Source organism: Homo sapiens, chromosome 13 (genome assembly GCF_000001405.40).
Source record: "Homo sapiens chromosome 13, GRCh38.p14 Primary Assembly".
Lineage (NCBI taxonomy): Eukaryota > Metazoa > Chordata > Mammalia > Primates > Hominidae > Homo > Homo sapiens.
This window is the reverse complement of record NC_000013.11, coordinates 57,480,901-57,494,753: the sequence shown is the minus strand read 5'-3', so window position 1 is coordinate 57,494,753 and position 13,853 is coordinate 57,480,901. Positions and strand designations below refer to the sequence as shown.

Here is a 13,853-nt window from a genome sequence, read left to right as displayed (position 1 = left end):
CACTGTGTTAGCCAGGATGGTCTGGATCTCCTGACCTCGTGATCCGCCCGCCTCGGCCTCCCAAAGTGCTGGGATTACAAGCGTGAGCCACAGGGCCTGGACACAAATTGGATGAATTTAAAGTAATTTTTGATTATCACATTCAAATATACTGTTATTATAAGAAAAAACAAGTAAAACCTCAAAATAATTAATGCCATTAAATACTCATCAGTTGATAAACGATTTCAAAATATTCTCTTATTGCTTTACTAAATTTACTTTTCTGACCCAGTATCAAACACGTTTAAAAGAAAAATTATATTTTCCTGTCTTTTTCCCAAACAGTAATGGGATCAGACAAAAATAACTTAGCTACACATACCAATAAATATATTACTGAAATTCAAGATGATGAGCAAACTAAACAGTTGTCTTTTTATTTTATTTTATTTTATTATACTTTAAGTTCTAGGGTACATGTGCACAACGTGCAGGCTTGTTACATATATATACATGTGCCACGTTGGTGTGCTGCACCCATTAACTCATCATTTACATGAGGTATGTCTCCTAATGCTTTCCCTCCCCACTTCCCCCACCCCACAACAGGCCCCAGTGTGTGATATTCCCCTTCCTGTGTCCAAGTGTTCTCATTGTTCAATTCCCACCTATGAGTGAGAACATGCAGTGTTTGGTTTTTTGTTCTTGAGATAGTTTGCTGAGAATGATGGTTTCCAGCTTCATCCATGTCCCTACAAAGGACATGAATTCATCCTTTTTTATGGCTGCATAGTATTCCATGGTGTATATGTGCCACATTTTCTTAATCCAGTCTATCATTGATGGACATTTGTGTTGGTTTCAAGTTTTTGCTATTGTGAACAGTGCCGCAATAAACATATGTGTGCATGTGCCTTTAGAGCAGCATGATTTATAATTCTTTGGGTATATACCCAGTAATGGGATGGCTGGGTCAAATGGTATTTCTAGTTCTAGATCCCTAAGGAATCGTCACACTGTCTTCCACAATGTTGAACTAGTTTACAGTCCCACCAACAGTGTAAAGTGTTCCTATTTCTCCACATCCTCTCTAGCACCTGTTGGTTCCTGACTTATTAATGATCGCCATTCTAACTGGTGTGAGATGGTATCTCATTGTGGTTTTGATTTGCATTTCTCTGATGGCCAGTGATGATGAGCATTTTTTCACGTGTCTGTTGGCTGCATAAATGTCTTCTTTTGAGAAGTGTCTGATCATATCCTTCACCCACTTGTTGATGGGGTTGTTTGTTTTTTTCTTGTAAATTTGTTTGAGTTCATTGTAGATTCTGGATATTAGCCCTTTGTCAGATGAGTAGATTGCAAAAATTTTCTCCCATTCTGTAGGTTGCCTGTTCACTCTGATGGTAGTTTCTTTTGCTGTGCAGAAGCTCTTTAGTTTAATTAGATCCCATTTGTCAATTTTGGCTTTTGTTGCCATTGCTTTTGGTGTTTTAGACATGAAGTCCTTGCCCATGCCTATGTCCTGAATGGTACTGCCTGGGTTTTCTTCTAGGGTTTTTATGGTTTTAGGTCTAACATTTAAGTCTTTAATCCATTTTGAATTAATTTTTGTATAAGGTGTAAGGAAGGGATCCAGTTTCAGCTTTCTACATATGACTAGCCAGTTTTCCCAGCACCATTTATTAAATAGGGAATCCTTTCCTCATTTCTTGTTTTTGTCAGGTTTGTCAAAGATCAGATGGTTGTAGATGTGTGGTATTATTTCTGAGGGCTCTGTTCTGTTCCATTGGTCTATATCTCTGTTTTGGTACCAGTACCATGCTGTTTCGGTTACTGTAGCCTTGTAGTATAGTTTGAAGTTAGGTAGCATGATGCCTCCAGCTTTGTTCTTTTGGCTTAGGATTGTCTTGGCAATGCAGGCTCTTTTTTGGTTCCATATGAACTTTAAAGTAGTTTAAAGTTCCGCATTTCCAAGACAATCCTAAGCCAAAAGAACAAGCCCATCAGGGCCCGGTGTGCGATGTTCCCCTCTCTGTGTCCATGTATTCTCACAGTTCAACTCCCACTTAGGAGTGAGAACATACGGTGTTTGGTTTTCGGTTCCTGTGTCAGTTTGCTGAGAATGATGCCTTCCAAGTTCATCCACGTTCCTGCAAAGGACAGGAACTCATCCTTTTTTATGGCTGCCTAGTAATTCCATGGTGTATACGTTCCACAGTTTTCTTATCAATACTCTGCTTCAATATTTAGGCTTTGTTGGAGCCACCAAACCAAAGCTATAAACTCTGTCATAACCTGCCCAATTTCAACCACTTCTCCACCTTATAAGACCCATGAAAAGATGTTCAACATCGTTAGCCTTCAGGTACATGAACATAAAAACCACAATGAGATTTCAAAGCACATTCATTAGGACACTTAAAATATAAAATAGTTATAATACTAAATGCTGATAAGGATGTGGAGAAACTTCAAATCTTTTAAAAATTGCTGATGGAATGATATAGCCATTGCTGAAAATATTTTGAAAGTTTCTTATAAAACTAACCATACTACCCAGAAATGGCACTCATGGCATTTATCTCAGAGACTTCTGTTCATATAAATACCTGTACACTGATATTCGTAGCAACTTTATTTTTAATATCAAAATCTGGGAACAGTCTCATTCTTCAACAGGTGAATAATTAAACAAACTGTGGCACATACATATAGTAGGATTCCACTCATCAGTACAAAGAAGGGAGCTATTCACAACTGCAAAAGTCTAACAGTCATGACAACAAGTGTAGGAACTCTCTGTACTACCTTTGCAACTTGTCTCTAAATCTAGAATGATCCCAGAATAGCAAAATTATTTGAGTGAACACAAATTAAAATATGTCTAGAGTTCTTAAGTGTTTTTTAATTGTAATATCATAAATGTTTTAAGCTGAAAAACACAGTGGAAGTTGGCTAAGATTCTGCTTTTTGTAAGTGAGAAAACTGAGATACAAAGTGATGAAACAGAAAGCTGCAAAGTCACTGTTAATATTTTAATTCGTGGTAACTACCAATTATAGTATTCTAGGTGATAAATTTATTTAAAGATTATTTTAGAACAATTTTTATCTTTGGAAACCAGGATTTATTTATAATTTTAATTATTTAGTTTTTTTCTGGTTTCCTACTTATTAATTTGGTCAAAAATATTTACTGAACACCACATTATATGCCAGCTCTTCTCTGGGCACTGAGGATACGATATCTGACTCAGCATTTTGTAAGCAAATGAGGGCTGGAAAATAGTTGTATTAAATACACAAAACATATAATTGTCACATTATTTACATAAGGAAATAACTAATACTTCTTACAAACAGTTAAGGTATCAACATTTTTCTCCAATAAAGGTGGTTTAAATAAAATGTTAGAAAATCTCATAACTTAATACAAATGATTTACCTAAGGATTTCAGAACCAAAACTGACAGGTGAAAAATAGCCTTAAGATGTCCATCAGTGAAATAATATAATTTAAGTATAAAAAAAGGAATGAACTGTTGGTACACACAACTTGGATGGTTCTCAAGGGCATTACACTAGTGAACAAAGTCCATCTGAAAATATTATATAATGTATTATTCCATTTATACAATATTCTCAATATGACAAAATTATAAAGATTGAAAGCAAATTAGTCAGACATTAGTTGGCAGGAGGAATGGGTGTGCCTATAAAGGTATAGCACGAGGGATCCTTGTGGTGATGGAACACTTCTGTATCTTGACTGTGCTTGAATTCACATGAATCTATACATGTGATAAAAGTGCATAGAATTATACACACACACACACGAGTTTTTATAAGAACTAGTGGAATCTGAATAATGTCTGTAGATAGCACCAATGTCAATTTCTGGTTTTAATATTGCACTACAGTTATCTAGATGGTACCATTAGGACAGATGGATGAAAGGTGCATGTAACCTTTCTGTCTTATTTTTACAAATTCCTGTGAACTTATTTTGTTTCAAAATAAAAAAAACAAAAACAAAAACAAAAACAAAAACAAAAACAAACCAAAAAAATGAAAAACATACACAGTCCAGGCCACACAACCCTATAAACAATCTCCCATTATGTCTATCTGAAGCACTGCTAAGGCTCTATTTATGTGCTGTTCTTTTTTCTCATATAAATCAAATAAATTTACCATTGCTTAATCAGAATGTTATTCTGATGATCTTCTGAGTAGTTAACAACAGATACAGGAAGTATTTATTGAGTCTCTACTGTGTGCAAGGAACTGCAATGCAAAGATAAAATTTAAAAAAAAAGACACTTCTACTTTCATGAAGCTTAGAGTCAAGGAGGAAGAGAAAGTGAAAAATGGATAAATCTACAAATAAATGAATAATTACAAAATATGTTAAGTATCATGAAATAAACAAATACAATATTTTTATTTAGAACAAGGGTTGGCAAACTCCTGTTATATTAAATAAAATTTTATTAGAACACAGCCACATTCATTAGTTTCCATATTGTCTATGGCCACTTTCATGCTATGAAAATAGAATTGAGTAATTGAAACAGAGATGTATGCCGCAAAAAGCCTGAAATTTTTACTAAGGATAAAGTTATTTTGAGTCTCAAGCAAGGCCTCAGTGCTCTTTTTCTTCTTCTTTTAGCCAGATAATCTCTGTGAAAGCCAGATAGAATTTTTTTTAAATGATTTTTTTACGATTTTCTTAATTCTCACATAACACATCAAGATTTAGGTCTAGTGGTCTATTATATTGTAGAGTTTCTTCTAATTATAGCCAGACTATGAACTTTACTGCCGTATGGCAGGTAGTAGGAGGGTGTGAGAGGACAGTAATTTTTAAACGGTAGGTAGACACTCATTGGTAGATCTTAAAATCAGTTTTCTGGTCACGACTAACATTTTAAAAAAGTGAAATTGACTAGGTTATAAAAGCAGAGTGCTATGTACAAAGTAAAAGAAAGATTGCTTATAATATTTTGTTTGTTTTCAGTTTGACATGCACACACACTTTTCTGGTTTACCGTTTATGGATACAAGTTTGAAAAAGTTGGAAAGTCTTTGTTTAATGAGATATGAAGCCTGCAGCTCAAAGTATTGTGGACCAATAAAAGTGACAAAATTAAGGGTTATAATCAGTGTTCCTAACTCACTCATTCAGGCCACAGGTTGGGAGAGGGAAGAGTGGTAGGGAATATTTAATGCAGAAGGACTTTGACACCTCTTCTTTGGATTCTGTAAGGAGATCCCTTTGAAGACTTCCCCATGCAAACATCCAAGGTCATATGCCAGGGAAGGCTGAAAGCCTCTACATGTATTCTGAACACATTCACTTCTACAATGGTGTGGACTATTGTATTGCAGTGTAGTTTGGATTGGGAGGTGAGTCTAAACCAACATTCTTGTTTTCCGAAGGCCCACTCGTGACATATGAACTTACATGATGCAGAGGGAATGTTTGGGATAATTAGGAAACTGATAGGATGACTGAGTTAAAAGCAATTAGCCCATCGTGTGCAGCTACTTTGAGACTGAAAATAAATGATCACAATGTAATTATAACATCCCTTTTCCTGTCCTACAAAGCCAGATGAGAATAGTAATCTCGGAAATGACCAGTGTAAGTTGTAGGCAAGCCATGCCTATGTGAAGACCATTGTGTTTTCAGAGGCTATTAGATGAGTCAAGGACCCTACCTGATTTCTGCTGTAATGAGATTGTGTAATACGTACTCTGTGAAGCATCCAGGTTTCGTGGGCTCTAATGCATATAGAGTCTTGGAAGAAATCTTTGAGGAAAAGAATTTAAAATTGTAAATTGTTGCAAGGGGTTTATGCAGATGAGGGTCCCACATGTTTTCTTCATGCTAAAGCCACCTTTGCAATTATTTCTAAAATACACACTGAGGAATACTTAGAAATAATGAGGCATGGATAGAGATCTAAAATACTGAGACAGTACCTGAGGTGAGCTAGTAAAAATTACCCAAAAAGAGGGTTTATTTTTCAGGCTAAACTTAACAGAGTTGACAGGATCTTATATTTTGTTTTATTTTCCTTGTACTTTATGCAGCAACAGCTTTAGAGATCAGAAGTTTTAGTAAGAAAAACATAAACCACATTTTATTTTTACATTTTTGGTATATGTAAATTTGGAAACATAGCCTATGGTATAATTAGTAAATCATAAATATTCAAGTATGCTTTGTGGACGATGGTCCAGAGCAAGAAGTGTATAGAATTGGTTGCCAATTCTATTCAATCAATATTACCCTTATCCCTTCTCTCTTTCCTATTCTTTTTGATATTAATTATTTTATTTTAACTATTTTATTGTATCCTATTGATTTGTAGACATCTACCACTATAGAGTCTGAAGTTGGCAGATACTTTCCAAGTCATCCTAGCAGCTGGGACAAAAGCTTATGACATATGGTCCTACACTGGCAAATAGGCATGAGAAATTTGATAAAGACCTTCTAGGAAAATAAAAAGACCTATTGTCAGGTGCCAACTCTCAATGTAATGCCTAAACGTGTGAAAGTCATCATGCAGTCTTAAGGGAACACACAGCTAAATTCCAAGTAAGTATGCTGAGAACTGCAGGACCGAAAAAAAAAAAAAGTATTAAGAATCTGGGTAATTGTCACAATCTGTAATGGAATAAACAAACTATTGTATTTTAAACATTTGGATATGTAAGTTTTAATTTTTTCATAGTTTTAGTTATTTTTACTTAGATATTCTCTTTCTTATGGTGGTAAGAAACACATAACATGAAATGTGTTTTCAACAACACTCTGTTACCCTCTTAACAAATTTTTAATTGTACATATGGTATAGTTAACAGTAAGAACAATGTTGGACAACAGATCTCTGGAACTTTTTCATCTTTCATGACAAACTTTTTATGATTGTTATATCATTCTGGTGAATTAACTCTTTTATCAATATATAACATTCTTCCTTGTCCCTTGGGACAGACAGTTTTTGACTTAAATTCTACTTTGTGTAACATAGGTTTAGCTTCCCCTGCTGTATTTTGATTACCACTGCTTAGATTATCACTATCAGCCTATGTGTGTCCTTAAATCTAAAGTGAGTGTCTTGTACAAAACATAGATGGATCTTTCAAAAAATTCATTTAGTCTCTTTTTGTCTTTCGAATGGGGAGTGTAATCCACTTAAAGTGATTAATGATAGCGAAGGACTTTGCCATTTTGTTGATGGCAAAAACATCTGTTTTGTAATTCTGTTCTCTCTCTGTTAGCATTACATATTCTGGTATATTCTAGCATGCATGCTGTTAAGAACACTTAACCAGAGGTATACCCTTTAACAAATAATCAAGTGTACAATACAATATTGATAACTATGGGCGTGGTGTCATATGACAGATATTTAGAACTTGTTTTGAATGACAAAAACTTTATACTTATGAAATAGCAACTCCTTAGGGGGAACCCTTATCCTTAGCCTCTGGCACCCAACATTGTACTTTCTGCTCCTATGAGTTTCACTGTTTTAGTTATGTCATATAAGTAGAGCAGTATTTGTCCTTCTGTGACTGGCTTATTCACTTAGTGTAATGTCTTTAGGATTAATTCTATTGTATCACATTGTAGATTTTCATCTTTTATAATTATGTATGTCATATTATTCAGCCATATATATGGATAGATATATCACATTTTCTTTATCTAATCACTCATTAATGAATATTTAGTTTCTTTCCACATGTTGGCTAAATATTGCTGCAATGAAGATGGAAGTGCAAATATTTCTTAGAAATATTAATTTGGTTTTCTTTATTTGTATACTCAGGAGAGTAATTACTGGATCACATGACACTTCAACTTTTAATTTTTTGAGAGATCTCCCTACTCTTTTCCATAGTGACTGAACCATTTTACATTCCCCTGAACAGTGTACAAGAGCTCAAATTTTTCCATATTTGCCAACATTTATTTTTTTATAGTTAATAGATGTTTTGTTAGGATCATAGGAATAATGACATCAAATTATGGTTTTATTGTTCATTTCTCTGAAGATGAATGTTCTCATAGACCTATTGGCTATTTGTATGCTTGCAGAAATGTCTCTTCAAGTCATTTACTCTTTTATTTAATACTTTTTATTTTGCCAATTAAATTTTTTTTTAATATTTCTCGGTTTTATTGTTGTCTGCTATTCAGTTGAAGTACTTTACATATTTTGACTATTAATCCCTTATCAGATATATAGGTTTGCAAATATTATCTCCCTTTCCATAGATTGCCTTTTTATTCTTTTGATTGTTTCCTTTGCTGTGCAAAAGTTTTTTCAATTTGATGTAGTTTAAATTGTTTATTTTTGGTCTGGTGACCTGTGCTTTTGATGTCATAGCCATGAAATTCCTGCCAAGACCAATTTCAAGAAATTTTCTCCAATGTTCTCTTAGAGGAGTTTTACAGTTTCAGATTATACATTTAAGTTTTTAATTCATTTTTTTTTTTTTTTTTTTTTGCTTCCTAGCAATGTTTTATTTATTTATTTTTTTTTTCTTTTTTAATTATTATTATTATTATACTTTAAGTTTTAGGGTACATGTGCACATTGTGCAGGTTAGTTACATATGTATACATGTGCCATGCTGGTGCGCTGCACCCACTAACGTGTCATCTAGCATTAGGTATATCTCCCAATGCTATCCCTCCCCCCTCCCCCGACCCCACCACAGTCCCCAGAGTGTGATATTCCCCTTCCTGTGTCCATGTGATCTCATTGTTCAATTCCCACCTATGAGTGAGAATATGCGGTGTTTGGTTTTTTGTTCTTGCGATAGTTTACTGAGAATGATGGTTTTTAATTCATTTTAAGTTGATTTTTGTGATTGGTGTCAGATGACAGCAATTTCAGTCTTTTGCATGTTGATATTCAGTTTTCCCAATGCCATTTATTGAAGAGACTGTACTTTCCACATTATGTATTATTGGCACTTCTACCAAATTATCAGTTGCCTGTATATGCATAAGTTTATTTCTGGAATTTTTATTTTGTTCCACTGGTCTGTATGTCTGTCTTTATGCCAGTACAATACCGTTTTGATTAATGTAACTTTGTAATACCTTTTGAAATAAAGAAACGTGAGGCCTCCTGATTTGTTTTTCTTTTTCAAGATTGTTTTGGCTATTCAAGGTCCTTTGTGGTTCTATATACATTTTAATACTTTTAAATTTGTGTAAAAAATGTCATTGGGATTTTGTTGAAGATTGCATGGAATCTGTAAATTGCTTTGGGTATTACATACTTTTTAAACAATAACAAGTCTTCCAATCCATGAACAGAGGATGTCTTTCCATTTATTCATGCCTTATTTCATTTCTTTTATCACCTTTTATAGTTTATAGTATACAAATCTTTCACCTTCTTACTTAAGTTTATTCCAAGGCATTTTATTCTTTGGATGTTATTTTAAGTGAGATTTTTTAATTTTTTTTTTCAGATTGTTAGTCTTTAGTGTATTGAAATGCAGTTGACTTTTAAATGTTAATTTCCATCCTTAAATTTTGCCAAATTTTATTAGATCTAACAAGTTTTTCTGATGGCACCTTTAGAGTTTTCTACATATCATTCATGTCGTCTACAAACAGATACTTTTACTTCTTTCTTTCCTAATTGGATGCTGCTTTTCTCTTTTTCTTACCTAATTGCTCTGGCCAGAACTTCCAGTACTATGTCAAATAGAAGTGGTGGAAGTGAGAATCCTGGAATTGTTCTGGATGTTAAAGGAAAAGCTTCCAGTTTTTCACCATTGAGTATGATGTTAGCTGTGAGCTTGTGGTATACAGTCTTTATTATGTCAAAGTAATTTTTCTTAATTCTAGTCTGTTGAGTGATTTTATCATTAATATGTGTTTAATTTTGTCAAAAGCTTTTTCAGCATCTATTGAGATGATCATGTGATTTTTATCCTTCTTTCTGTTAATGTGGTCTATCACATTGACTGATTGTTGCATGTTGAATCACCCTTGAATCTCAAAGATGAATCCCACTTTGTCATGGTGTATGATTTATTAATGTACAATTGACTTTGGTTTGTTAGTATTTTGTTGATAATTTTTGCTTATATAAAGAGATATTGGCCTGTATTTTTTTCTTTGTTGTAGCGTTTTTGTCTGGCTTTAATGTCAAGGTGATGCTGGCTTTCTTGGCCCTAAAAATGAGTTGGGAAGTGCTCCCTCCTCTTCTATTTTGTGGAAGAGTTTGAGAAAAAATTCTGTTAATAGTTTTTCTATTCTCTATTTTGTTTACTTCTGTGATTTTCTTCTTTCTGACAACTTTGGGCTCAGTTTGTTTTTCCTTGTTTTAACTAACTCTTTCAGGTATGGAGTTAGGTTGTTTGAAATTTATCTTTAATGTAGGCATTTATTGTTATGAACTTTGTACTGCTTTTGCTGTATCTCGCTAATTTTGGCATTTTTATCTCAAGGTGTTTTCTAAAGTTCTTTTTTATTTCTCCTTTTACCTAGTGGTTGTTCAAGAGTGTTTTATTTAATTTTCACATATTTATAAGTTCATCAGTTTTTAAATCTTCTATTGAGTTCTAATTTCATCTCATGAGGCTGAAAAATATGTTTGATATAATTAAATTTTACATTTTTTAAGACTTGTTTTGTGACCTGTCATGTGATTTCTCCTGGAAAATGTTCTGTGTGCTCTTGAGAAGAATGTGCGTTCTGCTGTTGTTGGCAGAATGTTCTGTGCATTTATGTTAGGTCCACAAGGTCTACAGTGTTTTTCAAGTCTGCTCTTTCTTCACTGATTTTCTGTCTGGGTGTTCTAGCTATTATTGAAACTGCAGTACTGAAGTCTCCTAGTATTATTTCGTTGTTATCCTTTTCTCTCTTTAGTTCTGTCAATATTTGCTGTATATATTTTGTTGCCCTGATGTTGGGTACATATATACTTACAGCTTTTACATCTTGACTGATAAAATGACACTTTTATCATTATGTAGTATAATTATTTAGCTCTTGTGATAGTGTTTGACTTAAAGTCTATTTTACCTGGTATAAGTATAGCCACATCTGTGCTTTTCTTTTCCTTGACATATTGTTTTTATTTTTACTTTATTTATATTTATATATGCATATATATATATTTATTATACTTTAAGTTCTACGGTACATGTGCACAACTTGCAGGTTTGTTACATATGTATACATGTGCCGTGTTGGTGTGCTGCACCCATTAACTCATCGTTTACATTAGGTATATCTCCTAATGCTATCCCTCCCTCTCCCCCCACCTCACAACAGGCCCCAGTGTGTGATGTTCCCCTTCCTATGTCCAAGTGTTCTCATTGTTCAATTCCCACCTATGAGTGAGAACATGCAGTGTTTGGTTTTTTGTCCTTGCCATAGTTTGCTGAGAATGATGGTTTCCAGCTTCAACCATGTCCATACAAAGGACATGAACTCATCATTTTTTATGGCTGCAGAGAATTCCCTGGTGTATATGTGCCACATTTTCTTAATCCAGTCTATCATTGTTGGACATTTGGGTTGGTTCCAAGTCGTTGCTATTGTGAGTAGTGCCGCAATAAACATACATGTGCATGTGTCTTTATAGCAGCATGATTTATATTCCTTTGGGTTCAACATACACAAATCAATAAATGTAATTCAGCATATAAACAGAACCAAAGACAAAAACCACATGATTATCTCAGTAGATGCAGAAAAAGCCTTTGACAAAATTAAACAGCCCTTTATGCTAAAAACTCTCAATAAATTAGGTATTGATGGGACGTATCTCAAAATAATAAGAGCTATTTATGACAAACCCACAGCCAATATCATACTGAATGGGCAAAAACTGGAAACATGCCCTTTGAAAACTGGCACAAGACAGGGATGCCCTCTCTCACCACTCCTATTCAACATAGTATTAGAAGTTCTGGCCAGGGCAATCAGGCAGAAGAAAGAAATAAAGGGTATTGAATTAGGAAAAGAGGAAGTCAAATTGTCCCTGTTTGCAGATGACATGATTGTATACCTGGAAAACCCCATCGTCTCAGCCCAAAATCTCCTTAAGCTGATAAGCAACTTCAGCGAAGTCTCAGGATACAAAATCAATGTGCAAAAATCACAAGCATTCTTATACACCAATAACAGACAAACAGGGAGCCAAATCATGAGTGAACTCCCATTCACAATTGCTTCAAGGAGAATAAAATACCTAGGAATCCAACTTACAAGGGATGTGAAGGACCTCTTCAAGGGGAACTACAAACCACTGCTCAACGAAATAAAAGAGGACACAAACAAATGGAAGAACATTCCATGGTTATGGATAGGAAGAATCAATATTGTGAAAATGGCCATACTGCCCAAGGTAATTTATAGATTCAATGCCATCCCCATCAAGCTACCAAGGACTTTCTTCACAGAATTGGAAAAAACTACTTTAAAGTTCATATGGAACCAAAAAAGAGCCCGCATTGCCAAGTCAATCCTAAGCCAAAAGAACAAAGCTGGAGGCATCACTCTACTTGACTTCAAACTGTACTACAAGGCTACAGTAATCAAAACAACATGGTACTGGTACCAAAACAGAGATATAGACCAATGGAACAGAACAGAGCCCTCAGAAATAATACCACACATCTACAACCATCTGATCTTTGACAAACCTGACAAAAACAAGAAATGGGGAAAGGATTCCCCATTGACAAAAACAAGAAATGGGGAAAGGATTCCCTATTTAACAAATGGTGCTGTGAAAACTGGCTAGTCATATGCAGAAAGCTGAAACTGGATCCCTTCCTTACACCTTATATAAAAATTAATTCAAGATGGATTAAAGACTTAAATGTTAGACCTAAAACCATAAAAACCCTAGAAGAAAACCTAGGCAATACCATTCAGGACATAGGCATGGGCAAGGACTTCATGTCTAAAACACCAAAAGCAATGGCAACAAAAGCCATAATTGACAAATGGGATCTAATTAAACTAAAGAGCTTCTGCACAGCAAAAGAAACTACCATCAGAGTGAACAGGCAACCTACAGAATGGGAGAAAATTTTTGCAATGTATTCATCTGACAAAGGGCTAATATCCAGAATCCACAATGAACTCAAACAAATTTATAAGAAAAAAACAAACTACCCCATCAAAAAGTGGGTGAAGGATATGATCAGACACTTCTCAAAAGAAGACATTTATGCAGCCAACAGACACATGAAAAAATGCTCATCATCACTGGCCATCAGAGAAATGCAAATCAAAACCACAATGAGATATCATCTCACACCAGTTAGAATGGTGATCATTAATAATTCAGGAACCAACAGGTTCTAGAGAGGATGTGGAGAAATAGGAACATTTTTACACTGTTGGTGGGACTGTAAACTAGTTCAACCATTGTGGAAGACAGTGTGGCGATTCCTTAGGGATCTAGAACTAGAAATACCATTTGACCCAGCCATCCCATTCCTGGGTATATACCCAAAGGAATATAAATCATCTGTGCTCTTTTGATTGTCATTTGCTTGGAAAGTTTTTTCTATTAATTCACTTTCAGCCTATGTGCAAATGTTAAGTCTCATAAAAAATATTGCTGTTTCTTTTTTTAAAAAAATCTATTTAGCTATTTTCTGTCTTTTGATGGGGGAGTTTATATTATATTTGAGGTACTTATTGATTGAAAGGGCTTTCCATTACCATTATGTTGTTTCCTACCTTTCTTACAGCTTTTTGAAAAAATCTCTTCACCTTTCTTGATGTCTTTTTATTTAATTGAATTTTTCCACCAAAATGTTTTGATTCCTTTTTCTTTTCTGTATCTTCTATAGGTA

The 13,853-nt window shown here is 34.3% G+C and overlaps 1 long non-coding RNA gene across 1 annotated transcript in view, besides 1 other annotated feature; it reads left to right on the top strand.

Moving 5' to 3' along the window:
• LOC105370217 (uncharacterized) overlaps positions 1–13,853 on the top strand; it is a 62,771-nt gene that overhangs the window by 25,478 nt on the left and 23,440 nt on the right. The window contains exon 2 of the long non-coding RNA XR_941983.1: positions 6,365–6,594. This is a non-coding gene — a long non-coding RNA (uncharacterized LOC105370217). The remainder of the gene's footprint in view (positions 1–6,364; positions 6,595–13,853) is intronic.
• Positions 2,025–2,319: a silencer, noted in NCBI's record as "tiled region #8499; HepG2 Repressive non-DNase unmatched - State 2:TssF, and K562 Repressive DNase unmatched - State 5:Enh". NCBI's record gives its function as "represses a minimal TATA promoter and a strong SV40 promoter by Sharpr-MPRA in HepG2 and K562 cells {active_cell/tissue: HepG2 | K562}" and the evidence as "EXISTENCE:reporter gene assay evidence [ECO:0000049][PMID:27701403]".